This window comes from Homo sapiens, chromosome 4 (genome assembly GCF_000001405.40).
Source record: "Homo sapiens chromosome 4, GRCh38.p14 Primary Assembly".
NCBI classification, from domain to species: Eukaryota; Metazoa; Chordata; class Mammalia; order Primates; family Hominidae; genus Homo; species Homo sapiens.
In genome coordinates, this window is record NC_000004.12 from 149,021,960 (window position 1) to 149,040,431 (window position 18,472).

The 18,472-nt window shown below is 39.0% G+C and overlaps 1 long non-coding RNA gene across 1 annotated transcript in view; it reads left to right on the top strand.

The window, feature by feature from the left end:
• The window catches only part of LOC107986195 (uncharacterized), a 496,338-nt gene extending 485,439 nt beyond the window's left edge, over positions 1-10,899 (top strand). The window contains exon 4 of the long non-coding RNA XR_001741441.2: positions 1,345-10,899. This is a non-coding gene — a long non-coding RNA (uncharacterized LOC107986195). The remainder of the gene's footprint in view (positions 1-1,344) is intronic.
• Positions 10,900-18,472: the final 7,573 nt, after the last annotated feature.

Genomic DNA, 18,472 nt, shown 5'->3' on the forward strand with positions numbered 1-18,472 from the left:
TATTATGATAGAACAGACCAAGAACAAGCGAAAGTCACTGGAAGTGACTCTACCTACCCAAATGGTAAACCAAAAGCAAATGGCTTTCTGGAGAAATTGCAAAAATTATTGCCAATATCAAAGGCTTGAAAAATACAGGGTTGGGGATCTCTACTTAACATGCCTATTTGGCCAGTGCAGAGGACTAATATTGCAGTATGTAGTGAGTGACTACAACCTTAAAAAGGTAGTAACTCCAATTCCAGCTGCTATTTCAGATGTATTTTCTTTCTGGAGAAAAATCGGTGCCAGGTATGCATACAGCTAATGTTCTGACAAATACTTTTTATTCTATGCCATTTAGCAAAAATCTCAGGAACAGTTTGCTTTCAGTTGAAAGGGCTACAATATATCTTCACTGTCCTACCTCAAGGCTATACTAACTCTTCAGCCCTATGTCATAATGTGGTCCACAGGGAGCTTAATTGCCTCACAATTCAAAAGAACATCATGGTAGGCCATCACATTGTTGATGTCATGCTGATTGAACTTATGAGCAGAAGTAGAAGCTACTCTGGATAATGAAACAAGACAGATGCATGTCAAGTAGTGGGAAATAGATCCCACAAAAATTAGGATCTGCCATCCCTAGAAACGTCTAGAGAAACAGTGGACTGAAGAGTTTGGGATATCTCTTCCAAAGTTAAAAAAAACAGTTGCTGTGTCTTACATTTCCTACCACTAAAAAAGGGGACATACCTAGAGGGGGATTTTGGAGACATCAAATATCTCATTTGGGTGTGCTTCTTACATTCATTTATCAAATAACTTCGAAAGGATGCCAGCTTTCTGTGTAGATCCTAGCACAAGAGACGTCTCTGCAACAGGTCCAGGCTGATGTGCAAGCTGCTGTACCACTTGGGCCCTAGGACCTAGCAGATCTTATGGTGCTTGAAGTGTCCATGGGCAATGGGATGATGTTAACAGCCCATAGCATGCATTTATAGGTAAATAACTGTGGAGACTCTTATCATTTTGCAATAAGGCTATACCATCTTCTGCAGATATCAATTCTTGTTTTAAGAAATAGTTTCTGGTCTGTTACTGGGAACTAGTAAAGATTAAATGCTAGACCATTAGTCATCAATTTTCTGTGCCACCTGAGGTACCCAACATGAAGTAGGTGTTGTCTTACCAAACCATGAAGTTGGGTATGCACAGCAACATCCCCTCATCAAATGGAAATGGTTAATATAAGATCCAGCCTGCACAGGTCATGAAGGCACAGGTAAGTTTCGTAAGCAAGTTGTACAAAAGCTCATGGTTCATACACCTTTTACATGGCCTCCTCTTTCTCAACTGCAGGTGTGGCCTCTTTGAGAGTTCCCTTTGATCATCGTTGAACAAGAAAATATTTGGGTCTGGTTTACCAAAGGACCTACAAGATTTTCTGGCACCACCATTCCCTGGAGGGGTCAGCCAGCTACATGTTGGCAGGATGATGGCACTGGACTATTTCCATCGTGGAAGGGGCAGCATTTTGTCCTCACTGGAACAGACACTTGGTTAGAATATGAATATGCTTTCACTGTACATATTTGTTCTGCTAAAACCACCAACTGTATATGCCTTATTCACTGTTATGATATTCCACGTAGCATTACTTCTGACCAAGGAACTCATCTCACAGCTAATGAAGTGTGGATAAGGAAGGGACTTTTGAAGATTTTGTTATGTTCCCAAGTGGGGGACATCATCTTATAGGGCTGGTGTAGTGTCCTATGGATGTAGTACATATCCCAAATCAGCAACCAAAGTATAGTGCTGTTTCTCCCATAACATGATCAAGGAATGGGAATGAGATCAGCTGCTCTTAGTTTACCCTTTGTGATCCACTAACAGTATTTTTGCTTCTAGTCCTGGTGACTTTGGGCTCTGCTGCTTTAGGGCATTTTACTTTTCCAGAAGAATAATGCTTCTGCCAGGAAACACAGTAACACTCCTGTTAAATTGGAAGTCGAGACTGCTCCCTGAGAACTGTGATGCCAGTAAATCAGCATGCAAATAAGTGGCTACTGGATTGGCTGAAGTGTTTGATGCTGACTATCAAGGGGGGAAACTGGGTTTCCAGCATAGAGTGGGCACGGGAGTAGGTGCTTTCTGGAATACCCTGGTCACCTTGGGTACTGCTTTTTATTCCCTTATCCTGTGGCAAAAGTTAATATAAAACCATGGTAGCCCAATAAAGACAGGACTTCTCATGGCTGACACTTTAGGAATGGAGTTTTAATCACTCCACCAGGCATGGGATCACAGCAAGGTGAGGTGCTTGCTGAGGGCAAGGGAAATATGAAGTGGGCAGTGCAAGAAGGAAGTCATCAATACAAGCTATGACCATATGGCCAATAGCAGAAATGAGGACTTAATATTTATGAGTATTTCTTTCTTAATTTTATTTACAGGCATGCTTCACTTAACGAGAGGGATATAGTCTAAGAATTGTATCATTAGGCAATTTTGTCATCATACTTACATCTTGGAGTGTACTTACACAAACCTAGATGGTATAGCCTACTACACATCTAGGCTGTATGGCAGAACCCATTTCTCCTAGGCTGTAAACCTGCACAGCATGTTACCATACTGAGTACTGTAGGCAATTGAAGCACAATGGTGAGGATTTGTGCATCTAAGCTTATCTAAACATAGAAAAGGGACAGTAAAAATTACAGTATAAAAGATGAAGAATGGTACATGTGCAAAGGGCACTCACCATGAATGGAGCTTGCGGGACTGGAAGTTGCTCTTGGTGAGTCAGTGAGTGAGCGGTGGATGAATGTGAAGGCCTAGGACATGACTATACAGTACTGTAGACTCTATAAACATGGTACACTTAGGCTACAATAGATTTACTTCAAAAAAATCTTTCTTCAATAAGAAATTAGCTTACTGTAGCTTATTTTTAGTTTATGAGCTTTTAAATTTTTAACTTTTTTACTCTTTTGTAATAACAATTACCTTAAACACATTGGATAGCTGTACAAGAATATCTTCTTTTTAATTTGCATTTAAAAGCTTTTATCTCTTTTTAATTTTTATTTTACTTTTTAAATGTTTCGTTAAAAATGAAGACACAAATACACACATTAGTTTAGGCCTGCACAAAATCAGGATCATCAAGAAATCACTGGCAATAGGAATTTTTTGGCTTCATTATATTCTCATGGGACCATCATCGTAGACTGAAACATCGTTACAAGGTGCATGACTGTATATGTGTGTATGTGTAAAAATTACTTAGTACCCCTCTTCTATTTTTCTATAATCCAATATAAGGCATGTTAATAGTGGTTAATGTCATAGTTCAATATTTAAGTTACAGAATATCAGCGGGAGAGTGTGACTATAAGGCTGTTTCATAGAGAAAGTGTCTTTTTGGTTGTACAAATTGTAGTTGCATCATGTTCTAACATGTTTACCTGGAAGTTAAATATGCTTAAAAGAAGTTTGTAAGGGTACCAAGTTGACAAGGAGTGGGCTGTCATATTTTCTTCTTTTGCTCAGTGTCAAATTAACTGAGCTAGAAATACATTTCTGAGAATGCCCTTCCTTCTATGGCTCCTGATTAAAATTGGCCACAAGAGAAATTTGCACAAGTTTTGCAAGGTAAAAGTAAAGCAGCAGCCATTACACCTTGAAGGATGATGTAGGGTTCCAGGCATCCCTGAAGTTCATGCACATCGTCATGGAGCTGCTCAGCCAGTCCTGTGCCAAGGTGAGCTAGCAACTGAGCTTGTAGCCAGTAACTGGGTTTGTAGCTGTCTCAACTCCCATTGGATCTCATCCTTCAGCCCTTCCATGTCCTGTACTAGGCACATTTGCAGGTCTGTGGGAAAGGGCACCAGCTTTTTCTGTGTGTCACCCATCCATGTCATCAAGGTTTGAGGTGGTGAGACAGGCATGGGTTCCACTTTTTCCTTGCAGATTCCAGTTGGTCCTTGATATATGCTAGTTCATGTCCAGCATTTTTTCTTGACTGGCAGCCCTGATGACCTACAACAGCATCAAAACCATAAACCGATGTAGCAGCAACAGCTTTCCATAGACTTTTTCAGTCTCAAAAATTATGCGTCATCTAGCTCCTATAACAAACCTGTACTTCCATATCACTCATAATGGTTCTGCTTTCTGAGTTCTAAGTGATATAGTAACTGAGGACATAATGATCTCTTTTTAGGAAAAATTACAGTGTATACAACCATTATTAAGAGTCATTTTTAATTTATAATAATTGTTGCTTTAAGCAAGGTCTCCTAAGTTTATGTGTTCCTTATGACCTCAGCAGGAGATAATTTTTGTTTTTGTTTCAAATGCTTACAGTTTCGCTTAAGGATCTTTCTTTAGTGTTTTAATAGAATCATCATTCTCAGGATACTGTAGTATCTTCCTTATAGTTTAAATGGAGCAAAAAATAAACAAACGAGGTTTTAATTAACGAATGTGCTAGTAGATATTCTATATTTACACACACTAGTTTCAGTTCTATCTTGAGTATGAGTTTGTGTGTGTAAAAAAGATAAAGAGAGAGAAAATAATCTCTGTAATAAAAAACAGAGAATGGGGGAAAAACCAGAAATTTCTTTCCTTACAATATTTAAGGATAGGCTTTCAAGATTTTAGCTGTATCCAAATACTTATTCTTAAAATAATCCTGCTATCTTGGGCATAACCTTCAAATTTGAAGATTCTAAAAGGTTCATAGGTGGAATAAATTCTCTTTTCAAAAGAGACCCACCTTCAATGAAGAGGGCTGCTTACCCATACATAATTGAACATCGGTTTCTCCCCTAATGATGACCAGATTCTCAGAAATCGGGCTACATTTTTTTAACAGTCAGCTGGGATCATAGGGAGTTAATAATTGCCATCACCAGCTCCACTGAATCAGAGGTTAGAACCAATTAGAGAGTAAGTAAATGGAGAGTTAAAATGTCAGCTTTTTCTTTTTTTAACTGATGAAGGCAGGCTGGATAAGGTGGAGTTTTTAAAAAGTGTGTGGGAGGATAAGTGTCAAGATGAACTTGCTAATATTTTACCTATAAAATGGACAGACTCACCCACACAGTCACAAATAGCTGGGGATAACAGCAGGCTCTGCTAAGGTAACTGCATAACAGTCCATATCTTCCCAGAAAAAGAATCATTTTTTGCTTGCTGCTTTGCTATGCAATTAGGAACTCATTGTGTACAATCAAACTCTCTTCTCATCCTTACCAAGCAGCTCCTTTGGTGATGTGACCCAGACCCTCATGTCTGAGAGGGCTGAGCTCCTGGTCACAATTATCTTCCTGTCATTCCAGTGTTTGATATTATTTTATGTGGCATTGCCTTATTCTCTGTGTATATACAGCACTTCTCTAACTTGGTTGTAAATTGTTTATAAGTTCATGTTTCATGCTTGCATTCTGAATCATTGCCCTTACCATACAGAATGCCAGGCACATAATAGTTGCTCAAATTAAAAAATATATCAAATACATAAATGATTGCTAGGTGCATGTTGTAGGTCATGCAGGTCAGCAGGTCATCTTTCCAGGGAAGTAGACTCTGAAATAGAGATTAATGTGCAGAAATTAGGAACTACGTGTAGGATCAAGCGCTGTGGCAGAAGAAAAGAAGACAAGATGGGGCAGAGGGAGGAGCTGGGCTATGTTGACATTTCAGCAAAGCTCTTCGTTAAACCCATATAGGGCTCTACAGCTGGGATGGCCCTTCAATGTTATTCCCGGTTTAAGAGAGTCAGCTGAGCTTTATACCACAGTGTCGGCCATTCATACCATTCATTGGCTACAGGCTTCTCCCAGGGAGGAGTGTGGCCTTGGCAAGGTAGCTCCCCAGGTGAGTGTAATTCCTGTGAGGCTGGCAGCTGGGATCTGTCATCCCACAGCACTCCCAGAAGCATAAGGATTATGTCCCTTAGTACTAAAGGGAGATCAAAGTGGTGCATCAGAGCGCCCACTACGGACCACCCCTTATGATGTCCCGATCCAATTCTTTGTGTAGACTCTGAGAGCAGCAAATTCTGGTGGACCTCTTGTCCTGGGAGAACCTTAGATGAAGGCGAGTGGGACAAACAGCTTCTCAACACCTGAGCTGAACTTGTAGCCACAACTGTCACTCATCAGCTTTTCCCTCTACTATCCATTCTGCATGCTGCTCATTCTCAGCTAGCACATCTTCCATTCTCGGGTGGCTCTGAAACAGACCTTCGGGGTCTTAGGAATCTGAGCCCATAACCATCATGCCCTTCTCAGGCCATGGCATATCATTTGTTCATGAATCACAAAAACTGAGTGAGCATAAGTAGACACATCAAAAGGAATCACCTGGGTGCCAACCCTATTCCACTATGCCCCCACTGTGTAACAGGATTTCTACTTTCTCCTGATGGTTAGGGCCAATTACTCTTTCCAGAAATGGTGACTTGTCTTCTTGGCTGTGGTCTGTTGGCATGGAGGGCCGTAAGTGTGTGGGCAATGGCTGTAACTTAAGGTTCAACGGGACTTCTGCTGTGTCCCTAGGTGGATGTGTTCTTTGAGAACCAGGACCTCTATCCCCACAGTATCTAGAGTTGGGGGAGGGGCAGCTCAGATCCACGTAGTGGGTCACTTGGAGGGATGTTAAGTGGGGTCTCTCACACTTCCATCTCATGCATCTTTTCTCACACCATGTGTCTCCTATTTGATCGTATCTGCTGGGAAATAAGGTCATAAATTCAGCTTGGACCTGCTGCAGAACCCTTTCCAGCTGTGTCCTATTCAAAGCTGTCAGACTTTCCTTACATCTGATATCTAGGCTGGAGAACTATGCCCAGGTGTGGAACATGCTCCCTCTTAACACCTGAAGACATCCACCAGCTGTTGTGCATTCTTCTCTGTGGTAGGGCACATGAGATGCAATAATTTGAATTTGTCTTTTACTTTAGAAGGCATATCCTGGCATGCCCCAGACCACTGGACTTTTAAAAAGTTTACTGCTGCGTCAGACCCCTAACTCTTCCTAAGAAGGGGCTCCTCTTTCTGTAGTTTCTATGTATTATTAAAGCCTCCAAAGCACTTGCAAACTTCTTGTGTATCTGGTTTAATTAGTATAAAATCATCAATGTAGTTGATCAAAGTGATCTGTCTGATAACATGACAGAAGTCAAGATAGATATCATAGTCTTGGGCAAGACTATTCACTCTTGATCCTTCTGAGTGAACATGAATTGATTCTGATTCCCCTTTGTCATGCTCAGGGTCAGGTTCCGTCCCCAGCTGAGGGCTGAGGGGAGTGGCTGGTCGTGGGACAGGGAGCTGGAAGAACATTCGAGAGACAGCAGGTAGATGAGACATGGCTTTATTCAGCAGCCTTTTCACAGGATCAGTGTTACATTTCTACACTATACAAACAATAGTGGCTGAGAGCCAGGTGGGGAACTTCTCTATGTTATGTCTACATGGCTATGATTATATAAGACATGGGACTGTGCGCCTGTGTCACAAACCTGCTGAGTCATCCAGGCTGTTTACCTCAGCCTATGCCTGCTGCCCTATGCCTGCTTGGCTGCAGCACAACCATGTTCCTTACACCCTTTCTGATAAAAATGGAGAGTGATAAATTTATAAGATTTGAAGTTACCTGCATGAGCAAAGCCATGCTAATCTGCCCTAGCAGGGATAGTGCATCTAGCACAGAATCTTGGGGCCAATGTTTGGGTGAGGTTGTAGTGGTCTAGTATCCTCTTCTAGGAAACATTTCACTTTTGTAGGGAGCAGACTGATAAATTTGTTGGAGATATATTAAGGGCTATATCTTCTGCATCTTTTAGGTGGTTAAGAATGACGCTAATCTCTGCCCATTCACCAGGAATGTGGTCTTGTTTTTGACTATTTTGACTGAGTCTTCTTGGTTTCCACTTGATTTTCTATAGAATGATATCTCTTACCCCACAGTCCAATCAACCAAGGTTGGGAGTAGGGTGGGCAAACTACCACTTATATCCAATCAATCATATTTTACTAATGAAATGGTTGATGGTGGGTCTGTGAACCTATTGGATTTTTGTAAGCTGGATCTCAGCCAGGATTATAATTTATTACCTGAGTTCTACCCACTCTGAGTGCCCTTACTCTAACAGGGAGGCCCCGATGTTCGGATGATCAAGTATCAGTGCCTAATGTATTCAATTGTTCTCAAAATTCTCTTTCCACAGTTTATAATTACCTAAGTAAAGGACATCTAAGCTGCATCTAATCAAGAAATGAATCAGGGTAATTTTTACCATAGGCATTTGCCATAGTATTGCAGGTCTGTTCCCTCTGGAAAACTCACCTCTCTTTAAGTCAGTGGGTTCTGTGTTGCAAAACTGGGGTAAATGTGGAAAATGGACAGGGCTTGTGACTTTTTATTGTAGTAGTGGCCCTCAGTCTCTTGATTATCTTTTCCTGAACTATTTTGTTTGTAGATTTTACATCACTGCAGGCTATACATTTATTTTGCCCCTGAGAATACCATGTTCTATTAATCATCTTTATAGCTTTCCATGGATCAAGTCCCTGAATGCTACTCTGCCTTTGCCACTTCATTTGATAATTGGGCCCGTCTTGCCTCCTATGGTTAAATGGTGGCCACTTTGGATAGATGGAAGGAGGAAGCCTATCATCCACATAGCCATTATTGAGTCCAGTTCCACAACAGCATCTCCTACTATCAGCCTTAATTTACAGGAGAATGCCTCTTCTGAACTTCTCAGTGATGTGGGTACCCATCTCACTCACTTTGGTAATTGCCATGCCCTCCAGGCCTTCCCATAGGATGTATTCATCTGGTGTATTTCCTAGACTTACACAGTATATATGTTCTTGCATGCCAACTTTCCTAACCCTTTTGCTCCCTACTTTTACTGCCTGCCATGATATTTCTGGCATTTCAAGTTCATTTCATTTAGGTCACTGCTTTCTCCAAGTTTCACAAGCTATCCCAGCAGAACATTTATACTTTGTCCAAGATTCTTGCCAGGGTATCACATCCTATATCCTTGGAGAGGGCTTTAATAGTAAATGCTCTCTTGTCCTTTTTTATATTCTATCCCACCTCTCCTTAATCAAATACCTTTAGAATCCAGGCATGTAGTACTCCCCAGTTTCCTTCTGGTGCAAATTGACTCCATGTGTGCATATTCACTTTCCTTCCTTGGCAAGCCCAACACTTCTCTAGTTGTCTTATGCTGCACCTTAACGCTATGTGTTGGCCTGGAGCCAAGGGGAGTACATAGTGGCAGATCCTGAGAGGGGCGCCTCTTGTCTTGTAGTGAAGGGGTCTCTGCATTGTCTGCAAGTGATGAGAAAAGTATGGAGTCTTTATAGGGAGGCGTGAGCTACTTACGCAGGCTCAGAGGGCTTAATAGAATTAGGAGATTTGAGATATTTTAGTTCATCACCCCAAATGTCCCCATCCCATGTTTCTAGGTCCCATTCTTTCCCATTAGGCCTCTACCCTTAGCATAGAGGACCTGACTAGGTTGAGAATTTACCAACTTTGGAAACTGCTTGGTCCTCAGCTTTCTTTATCTTTGCTCTAGAAAATGAAAGCCTTTATATGCTGCCTTGGAGGCCCTCTAGTGTTCACACTTAGCTTGTAATTGATGAGTAATCACCTTTAGCCTTTGTCATCTTTCACCAGAACATTAATTGTCCCCAGCAGTTGCCATTCAATTCTATTATCTTTATCATTACCATTTCCCCATTTCTTTTCTGAAAGACTTGACACATTGCACCTGCACCTGCCTGTGCACTTTCCTCCACAGCTGTACCATTCCAGTTCACCTTTAGTGAAAGGTTTAACAATTGCCATGTTACCTTACACCAATAGCTATTCCTAATCCCGTTATTGGGTATTCATTGCCAGCCAGCTGATGAGTGATCTAGCTCCAAAATCCCATCTCACCATCTGTGCCTTTCCTTAACTGAAGGCAATTCCTGTGCTTTTTCCTTCCTAGGATAATTGAAAACTTTCCTAATTGTGGACACAGTGATAATAATTTTTTTATTCTTGATAATTCCCTGTTAAACATCTGACTGTCAGGGTATATGCTATGCACTAGGCACAAGGTGAACCAAATGGAGAGTGAACAGGTTTTCCCTCCTCAAGGAGCTTGCACGTTGACTCTCCTTCCTTCTGCTGTAATTCGATGATTTAGAACAAGTGAAAGATTTGTACTTTTTGTATGTCTAAGATGAACATCATGCAGTATTGAATCTTGTTTCTGAAACCTGAGATTAATTTAAATATGAGACACTCTCCTTTCATCTAGTTACATGGAGTCATGCAAACATAAAATATATAATAGCAAGATGGCTGGAGCCTGATTCATTTCTTGATTAGATGAAGCTTAGATGCAGGAAAGAAAAGTTTTGTATTCAGATCCCCTGAGTTCAAGTTTTGCTTTTACTAATTACTGGTCAGGCAAGTCACTTGATCCTTCTAAATTATTCTTCTGTAATCAGATTATCTGTGTTGCACAGAGGTATGTCAACATGAAAAAGCACATTTTCAAATGTTTTTTTCAGTGTGGTCCAAGGATCCCTTGGGAAGGGGTTTACTTTTGCATTAAGTATTTATAAACACAGATTTGTTTTATATACATTAATTAAAGTAACTTAAAAACAACAGATTGAATGTAGAAGAATCGAACTGTCTTCCATTCAATTAGTCATGAAAGAGTTCTGCAAAAGGGTGAAACAATACCATTATTCTCACTAGGCTTTTGTCTATTTTGGAAAGTATAGATTTTTAAAAATAAAAGTGTGTTGTTTATGTTAACATATAGTGGGTTTATTGTTATTTTAGGTGAACTAATAAATATGCATTTTAAATATGTATCATTTCTAATTTCCAAGATGGCAAGTATTGATTGATATGAACCATGTAAACAAAGATTCTTTTGGGCTCTTAATATTTGCTAAGAGTGTAAAGGGGACCTGAGACCAAATAGCAAACACTCTAATTTTGCCAGAAGTCTAAGATGACCAATTCTCTGTCTTTCAATATGCTATTAAAACACACACAAAAAGATAAATGCAAATGCTTAACCACAACTTAGATAAGAAATAAAGGATATGACCCTTCAAATACTGGATATTAGAAATTCTTAATATCCAAAGCTTGGATAAAATCTCTCAGACAGATATGTTGAACAGTGCAGGAAAATTGATCATTGATTTCTAGCCAAGCGCTCCTGCTGGAAACCCCAATTTCCCAGGCAAGGACATGAAACTGAGGAAGAGAATTCACCACCTACTTGCCTGGGAGGAACTTTACAAGGTAACCTATTGTTACCTCTCCTTTTTTACTATTAGAAGAAATACGTAGCAATTAAAGGCAGAATTACAGAATAATAGAGTCTTTACACGAAGGGATTGTAAGTCAAGCAGTCCGAATGGAAGAACCAGGGGCATAATCAATTCTGGAAATTAGTTTCTCATTTTCTGATTTGGGCAATTAAATCACTATACTTATGCTTGATTATCAAAGAATAAACTCTACAACTCCTGATTATTTAATGACGTGGCAGATGGTGTAGGAGACCTCCTTCCCTGTCCAACAGATCCATTCTAAATAAAAGACTGCCAATATTAGGGCTGGAGAATGTTAACTAGTTCTTAGCCCATTATATGAGAAGATTCTGAAAGAATCAGGAGGTCAACATGGGGAACCCTGAATAACCCTTAGTAATCCATACCGGACTATGCTTCTTATAAATAAAGAAAAGAACATGTGAAGTCTATGAAAAGTCTCCACATGTTTCAAGATGAAAACAGACTTACCATGTAAGATACAAAGGATTTTTTTTTAACTTCAAAAGGAGTGCATGTTAGAAATCTTTGTCCTCTTGAAAATATTTGTGGAAATCTGTATGCTATGAAACAAAAGAAAAAGGATGGGATGGTAAGACCGCAACAAAAATGACAAAAAAATTGAATGGCCTAAGGAAAAATTGTAAAAACATAAGTATAATCACAAAATTAAGGCCAGGTTCAGAATAAGACAGAAATGACACTGCAGAAAAATAAAGTTTTGTTGTAAAAGGAGTAAAAGAAAAGCTTTCCCAAAATAGAGACAGAGAATAGGAACAGAAGGACCAAATGGGAGAGAAGATGGTAGATCTAAAAGTCAGAAGTGAAGCACCAGCATACAGATCACTGGTAAACATTACTATACAAACAATCCTAAAAGCAAGTTTACAGGAAATTTCCTAAGACAAAAGATTCCACAAATAGAATGATACCATTTGTATAAGAAAAAAACTGATAATAATCAATACCTAGATGGATCCTGATGGCATTATTAAATTAAAACAAATCACTGACAAAATTTTAAACAAAGTAGTTTGATTAAATAGTTTCAGGAACAAGTAAGAAATAAAAGCTGTATGTACAGAATATTTAGGGAAAAATGACAATATTGTATATATAAACAAATGGGATGTAGACAGAACATTTATGAATCGAATTTTTTAATCAATCAAGAAAAGTGTAAGAACTACTCTCACCACAAATACAAAACTTATAAATTCAACCAAATAAATGTAATGGAAACAAGAGAAGAATAAAATATTGGAAAATATCTTCATGACCATAGGGGCCAAGAAGGATTTCTTTTACAAACCTAAAATAATTTTATAAAGAAATAATTAACAACTCTGATCACATTCATATTAAAATTTTATATACATCACAAAGCACCATTTTTAAAAAAGCCAAAGACAAAAGACGGGCTTAGAAAAGTTTTTTTTTGCAACAAATATAACCAACATAACAGAAGGAAGTTCCAGAAATATGAAGACTCTTAAAATCAGTAACAAAAGACAAACAACCCAACAGAAAATAGGCAAAAAGATATAAAAAGGTAATTCGAGAAAGTAAGAGCATTATTTTTAAGTTAGGATGGTAGACGAGTATACATTATTTTATGCTCTATATTTTGACACATCTTAAAAATTTGTAAGGCCAACATATGCATAAATAATTAAAATACAGTTATAAATTAATGAATTAGAAACCAAAAATCATGAGAATAGATCAAGTAATCCAAGATTTTGGTCTTTTGGAAGACATCAAACTATGAATAAAAATGATAGAAAATATAAATATAGGATATTATGTATGACAAAAACATATCATAATAGATGAGATATTTTGAAATTCTAAAAGAATATAATATGACAAATTTAAATAAGTGTGAATATTTCAATAAAATAGACAATGTTTTAGGAAAATAAGCCTAACTGAAAGGCAAGTGAGTTCTCTTGTCCTATGGAGATGTAGATACTCTGGTGGAACTCCCTTGTCTAAATCCTATGACAGCACAAAGCCTTTTCAAATACTTCTGAACATTTCTGGGTAACTCAATTTCTCTGTTCACATCTGTCCTTGGGTCCCCTGCTGACTCTCTTCTTTACCATGTTGACTCAGATGTAAAATTTATCCCCCCTTCAGTTTCTACCAAAAAATTGAAATCACATTTGCAGGGTATTCTGAAGTATAGAAGATTTTGCTGAAATTGGATGATCAAGTTGAATATCCTTAAACAAAATAATAGGCATAAATGCCACTTGACAACCACATCACTGGGGAACTTTCCTTAGCTGTTTTCTTAACATAGCTTTAGTTTCTCAATGATACGGTTTGGCTGTGTTGCCACCCAAATCTCATCTTGAATTGTAATCCCCATAATCTCCACAGGCTGTGAGAGGGACCAGGTGGAGGTAATTGAATCATGCGGGCAGATTCCCCCATGCTGTTCTCGTATTAATGAGTGAGTCTCACGAGATCTAATGGTTTTATAAGCATCTGGCATTTCCCATGCTCAAACTTATTATCTCCCCTGCCACCCTGTGAAGAGGTGCCTTCCACCATGATTGTAAGTTTCCTGATGCCTCTCCAGCCACGAGGAACTGTGAGTCAATTAAACCTCTTTTCTTTATAAGTTATTCAGTCTCTGGTATTTCTTCATAGCAGCATGAAAAAGAGCTAATACACTCAATGTTAAAAAAAACCACTTATTTTTGGTTCGGGGTGCATGTGAAGGTTTGTTACATACGTAAACTTGTGTCACAGGGGTTTGTTGTATATATTATTTCATCAGCCATGTATTAAGCCCAGTACTCAATAGTTATCTTTTCTGCTCCTCTCTCTCCTCCCATCCTCCACCCTCAAGTAGACCCCAGTGTCTGTTATTTTCTTCTTTATGTTCTTAAGTTATTATCATTTAGCTCCCACTTATAAGTGAGAACATGTGCTATTTGGTTTTCTGTTCCTGTATTAGTTTGCTAAGGATAATGGCCTCCAGCTCCATCCATGTTCCCTCAAAAGACATGATCTAATTGTTTTATGGTTGTATAGTATTCCATGGTGTATATGTACCACACTTTCTATATCCAACCTGTCACTGATGGGCATTTAGGCTGATTTCATGTGATATGGTTTGACTATGTTCCCACCCAAATCTCATCCTGAATTGTAGCTCTCATAATTCCCACTTGTCATGGAAGTGACCTGGTGGGAGTTCCTTGAATCATAGGGGTGGGTGTTTCCATGCTGTTCTCGTGATAGTGAGTAAGTCTCATGAGATCTGATGGTTTTATAAAGGGCAGTTCCCCTGCACTTCTCCTTGTTGCTGTCATGCAAAGAACATGTTTGCTTCCCCTTCCACCATGATTGTAAGTTTCCTGAGGCCTCCCCAGCCTTGCGGAACTGTGAGTCAATTAAACCTCTTTCCTTTATAAATTACCCAGTCTTGGTATGTCACTATTAGCAGCATGAGAATGGACTAATACATCATGTCTTTGCTATTGTGAATTCCTATCCATGTGTCTTTATGGTACAATGATTTATATTCCTCTGGGTATATACCCAGTAATGGGATTGATGGGGCAAATGGGAATTCTGTTTTTAGTTCTTGGAGGAATCACCATACTGCTTTCCATAATGGTTGAACTAACTTATACTCGCACCAACAGTGTATAATTGTTCTCTTTTCTCTGCAACCTGGCCAACATTTGTTATTTTTTGACTTTTAATAATAGCCATTCTGACTGGTGTGAGATGGTATCTCATTGTGGTTTTGATTTGCATTTCTGTAATGATCAGTGATATTGAGCATTTTTTCATATCCTTGTCCCAACATCTCTTTAACTTCTCTCTCTTACCTCTTCCTTCTCTATGCTCTGGCTTTTTTCTTTCTGCACTGCATAGGACAATAATACTTTCATTTTATTATGCATATATCTAAAAATCTTGGCTTCTGCTAACACCCATATCTTCCAGATCTCATCTTCTATACCAGTGGCTCATCAAGGTAATTTTCCAATAGACAGTAGATTCTCTTTAAAAGGAACTCAAATGACAGCTGCTAAGATACTATATTTTTCTCTTCCCCAATTATGATTACCAAAATATACTCAAGAAGTGTAAATCAGTATATATAGCAACATCTCAAATATGAAATGTGCTATTCTCTGTCTTTCTCTCTCTCTCTCTCTCTGTCACACACACATACACACACACACACACATACACACACACACACGCAGCAGAGGGAAGAATATAATCAGGTATTTACAAAGATATAGCTGACTCTAGCAAAAGCTGGTGATTTTTTTTCGATATTATTTTGGTAATTAGAAAAGTGACATTAAAATGAATAAAAGTGAAATAATAAAAATTAAAGGCCTAGTATTCCTTAAATAAAGTAAGTATAATATTCATGCATTTTGCCAGTGCTCTTTCTATCACATGTCTAGAACAAATTTTGATAGCCATCATTCTGCCTCCAGGCAAGGCTGCACTGACCTAGTATCATGGGACTTAGACAGAAGTGGAATGCCCTAATCATAAGGTCTATTCCTTATCCTAGTTCTCTGAAAATCTTTAGAGCACATTTCCCTATGTTGTTCATTCCCAGTGCTGCTGTGTTGTATTTCCTAGAATCTAAACTTTTCCTGCGGTTGTATTTCTGACTTTGGGAAGTCGCCTTGTTTCGTATTGATTCTCCAAGATGTCTTGCCGTGCTCCTGCCTGAAGTCAATTGCCTGCAGAAACTAGCTTATATGCATAGATATGCATTTAATGGAGATTAAGCACAGAGATTTTGGACTCACATAGAAACCAAGAATTTATTTCTTATCGTAGTTTCAGGATTTGCTATATATTCCTCTTCTTATATTAACCCTCTTTTCTAATAATTACTAAAAATAACATTTTCTCATAGAACCATTCCCTGAAACTCTGGGCTAGCACAGTGTCCACTGCTACATATTTTCATAGCAATCTTTACTTAAGCTTTTGTAAAAACGAATCCCATATACTTGAAGCTCCATGAGAGCAGTGTCATGTTTTCCTATACTAGTATATTTCTGGAATGTAAGAAGTGCTTAGTGAATAAGTAAAGAAATAGGCGAATGGGTGGATGGATGATTGGCCATCATATGGCCATAGAATTTTCTTGCCAGCTGTTGACCCTACTCACTAGTTCTTGCAGCAAAAAATCAGTTCAGCCAGTGTTCACACCAAAATAAACTCTGTCCCTTATGGGCAAGGTCTAAAGGACATTTAAATTATCTCCAATAAAACCAAGGTAGCAACTTAGTAGGAATCCAATACTAATATTAAGAGAATTTTAACCAAAGACATTTCTTCTCTCTCTTCCATTCTGGATTGCTTTTTTCAGGTACCTATGAGTCTTTCCCCTGCAATTACCCCCTGTGAGGGTTAATACTGAGTGTCAACTTGATTGTATTAAAGGATGCAAAGTATTGATCCTGGGTGTGTTTGTGAGAGCATTGACAAAGGAGATTAACATTTAAGTCAGTGGGCTGGGGAAGACAGGCCCACCCTTAATCTGGTACGTACAATCTAATCAGCTGCCAGAGAATATAAAGCAGGCAGAAAAACAGGAAAAAGCAAGACTGGCCTAGCCTCCCAGTCTACATCTTTCTCCTATGCTTCCTGCCCTCAAACATTGGACTCCAAGTTATTCAGTTTTGAGACTTGGACTGGCTCTCCTTGCTTCTCAAGCTTGCAGACAGCCTATTGTGGGACCTTGTGATCATGTAAGTTAATACTTAGTAAACTCCCATATATGTGTGTGTATATATATATTCTCCTATTAGTTCTGTCTCTCTAGGGAACAAAAGACAAACAGTCTTTTGCTAGTACAGCTTTTGGTACCAGTAGTGGGTCTAGAGGAACAGAATATTAAGGATGGAGTTCTTTTGTTGGTTTTGGGATTTCTGGGGTTGGCTGCTTAATATGATTAGACCCAAAGATGCTAAGGACCCTCCTTCTAATAGTATGGAGAACACTGATAGTCCTCGTTGTGAACTGTTTAGAGAGTTATGCAAAATAAATGCATTTGACACTCCTGATTCACTGCTCATGAGAGACAAGGAGTTTAGTGACTTTGTAAATAATATCTTTGACCATATGTGGAGAACCAAGGAACATAATGAAGCTGGTTGGTTGCTTCTAAGTTTGGTGGATAAAGTGATGAAAGAAAACTATGAACTCAGGGATTCTGTCTCCTGGCTTCAGAAGCAGATAATGAGCCTTAAATATGCTAACATTGCCCTGAGTGAGAGTCTTATCTCCTGTAGAGAAAGAGCTAAAATTGTGAAAAAACAGACACAAGTGGCTGACCTGCAATGAAAGGTGCATGCACAGCCTCGCCAGGTATCTACTGTTAAAGTAAGGGCATTGATTAGAAAAGAATGGGACCCTGGAACTTGGAATGGGGATGTGTGGGAGGACCCTGATGAAGTTGAGGACACTGAGTTTGTAAACTCTGTTGAAACTTTTTTGCCAGAAGGAACAGCTTCCCCATCCCCAGTAGTGGCAACATCCCCTCCCGGACCCATGCTGCCATCAGCCTTTCCACCTTCATCTGAGGAGATAAACCCTGCACTGCCTGAGGCAACAGTGACAGCCTCCCCTGAGGCAGTTGCCTGGCAAAATAATGTTGATTCTTCTCAGGAGCCACCCGCAACACCTCTGTTTGCTTCTAGACCTATAACTAGACTAAAATCCTGGTGGGCCCCTAGAGGTGAGATTGAGACTGTGACCCATGAGGAGGTGTACTACACTTGAAAAGAACTGCTTGAGTTCTCTAATTTATATAAATAACAATCTGGAGAACAGGCATGGGAATGGATATTAAGGGTATGTGATAATGGTGGAAGAAACACAGAGTTGGATTAGGCTGAATTTATTGCTTTGGGCCCACTAAGTAAGGATTCATTCTGCATTTAATATTGTAGCATGGGGAGTTAAAAAAGGTTCTAATAGTTTGTTTGCTTGGTTAGCTGAAATACGGATTAAAAGATGGCCCACTGTGAATGAGCTGGAAATGCCTAATCTCCGTTAGCTTAATGTAGAGGAAGGGATCAAAAGGCTTA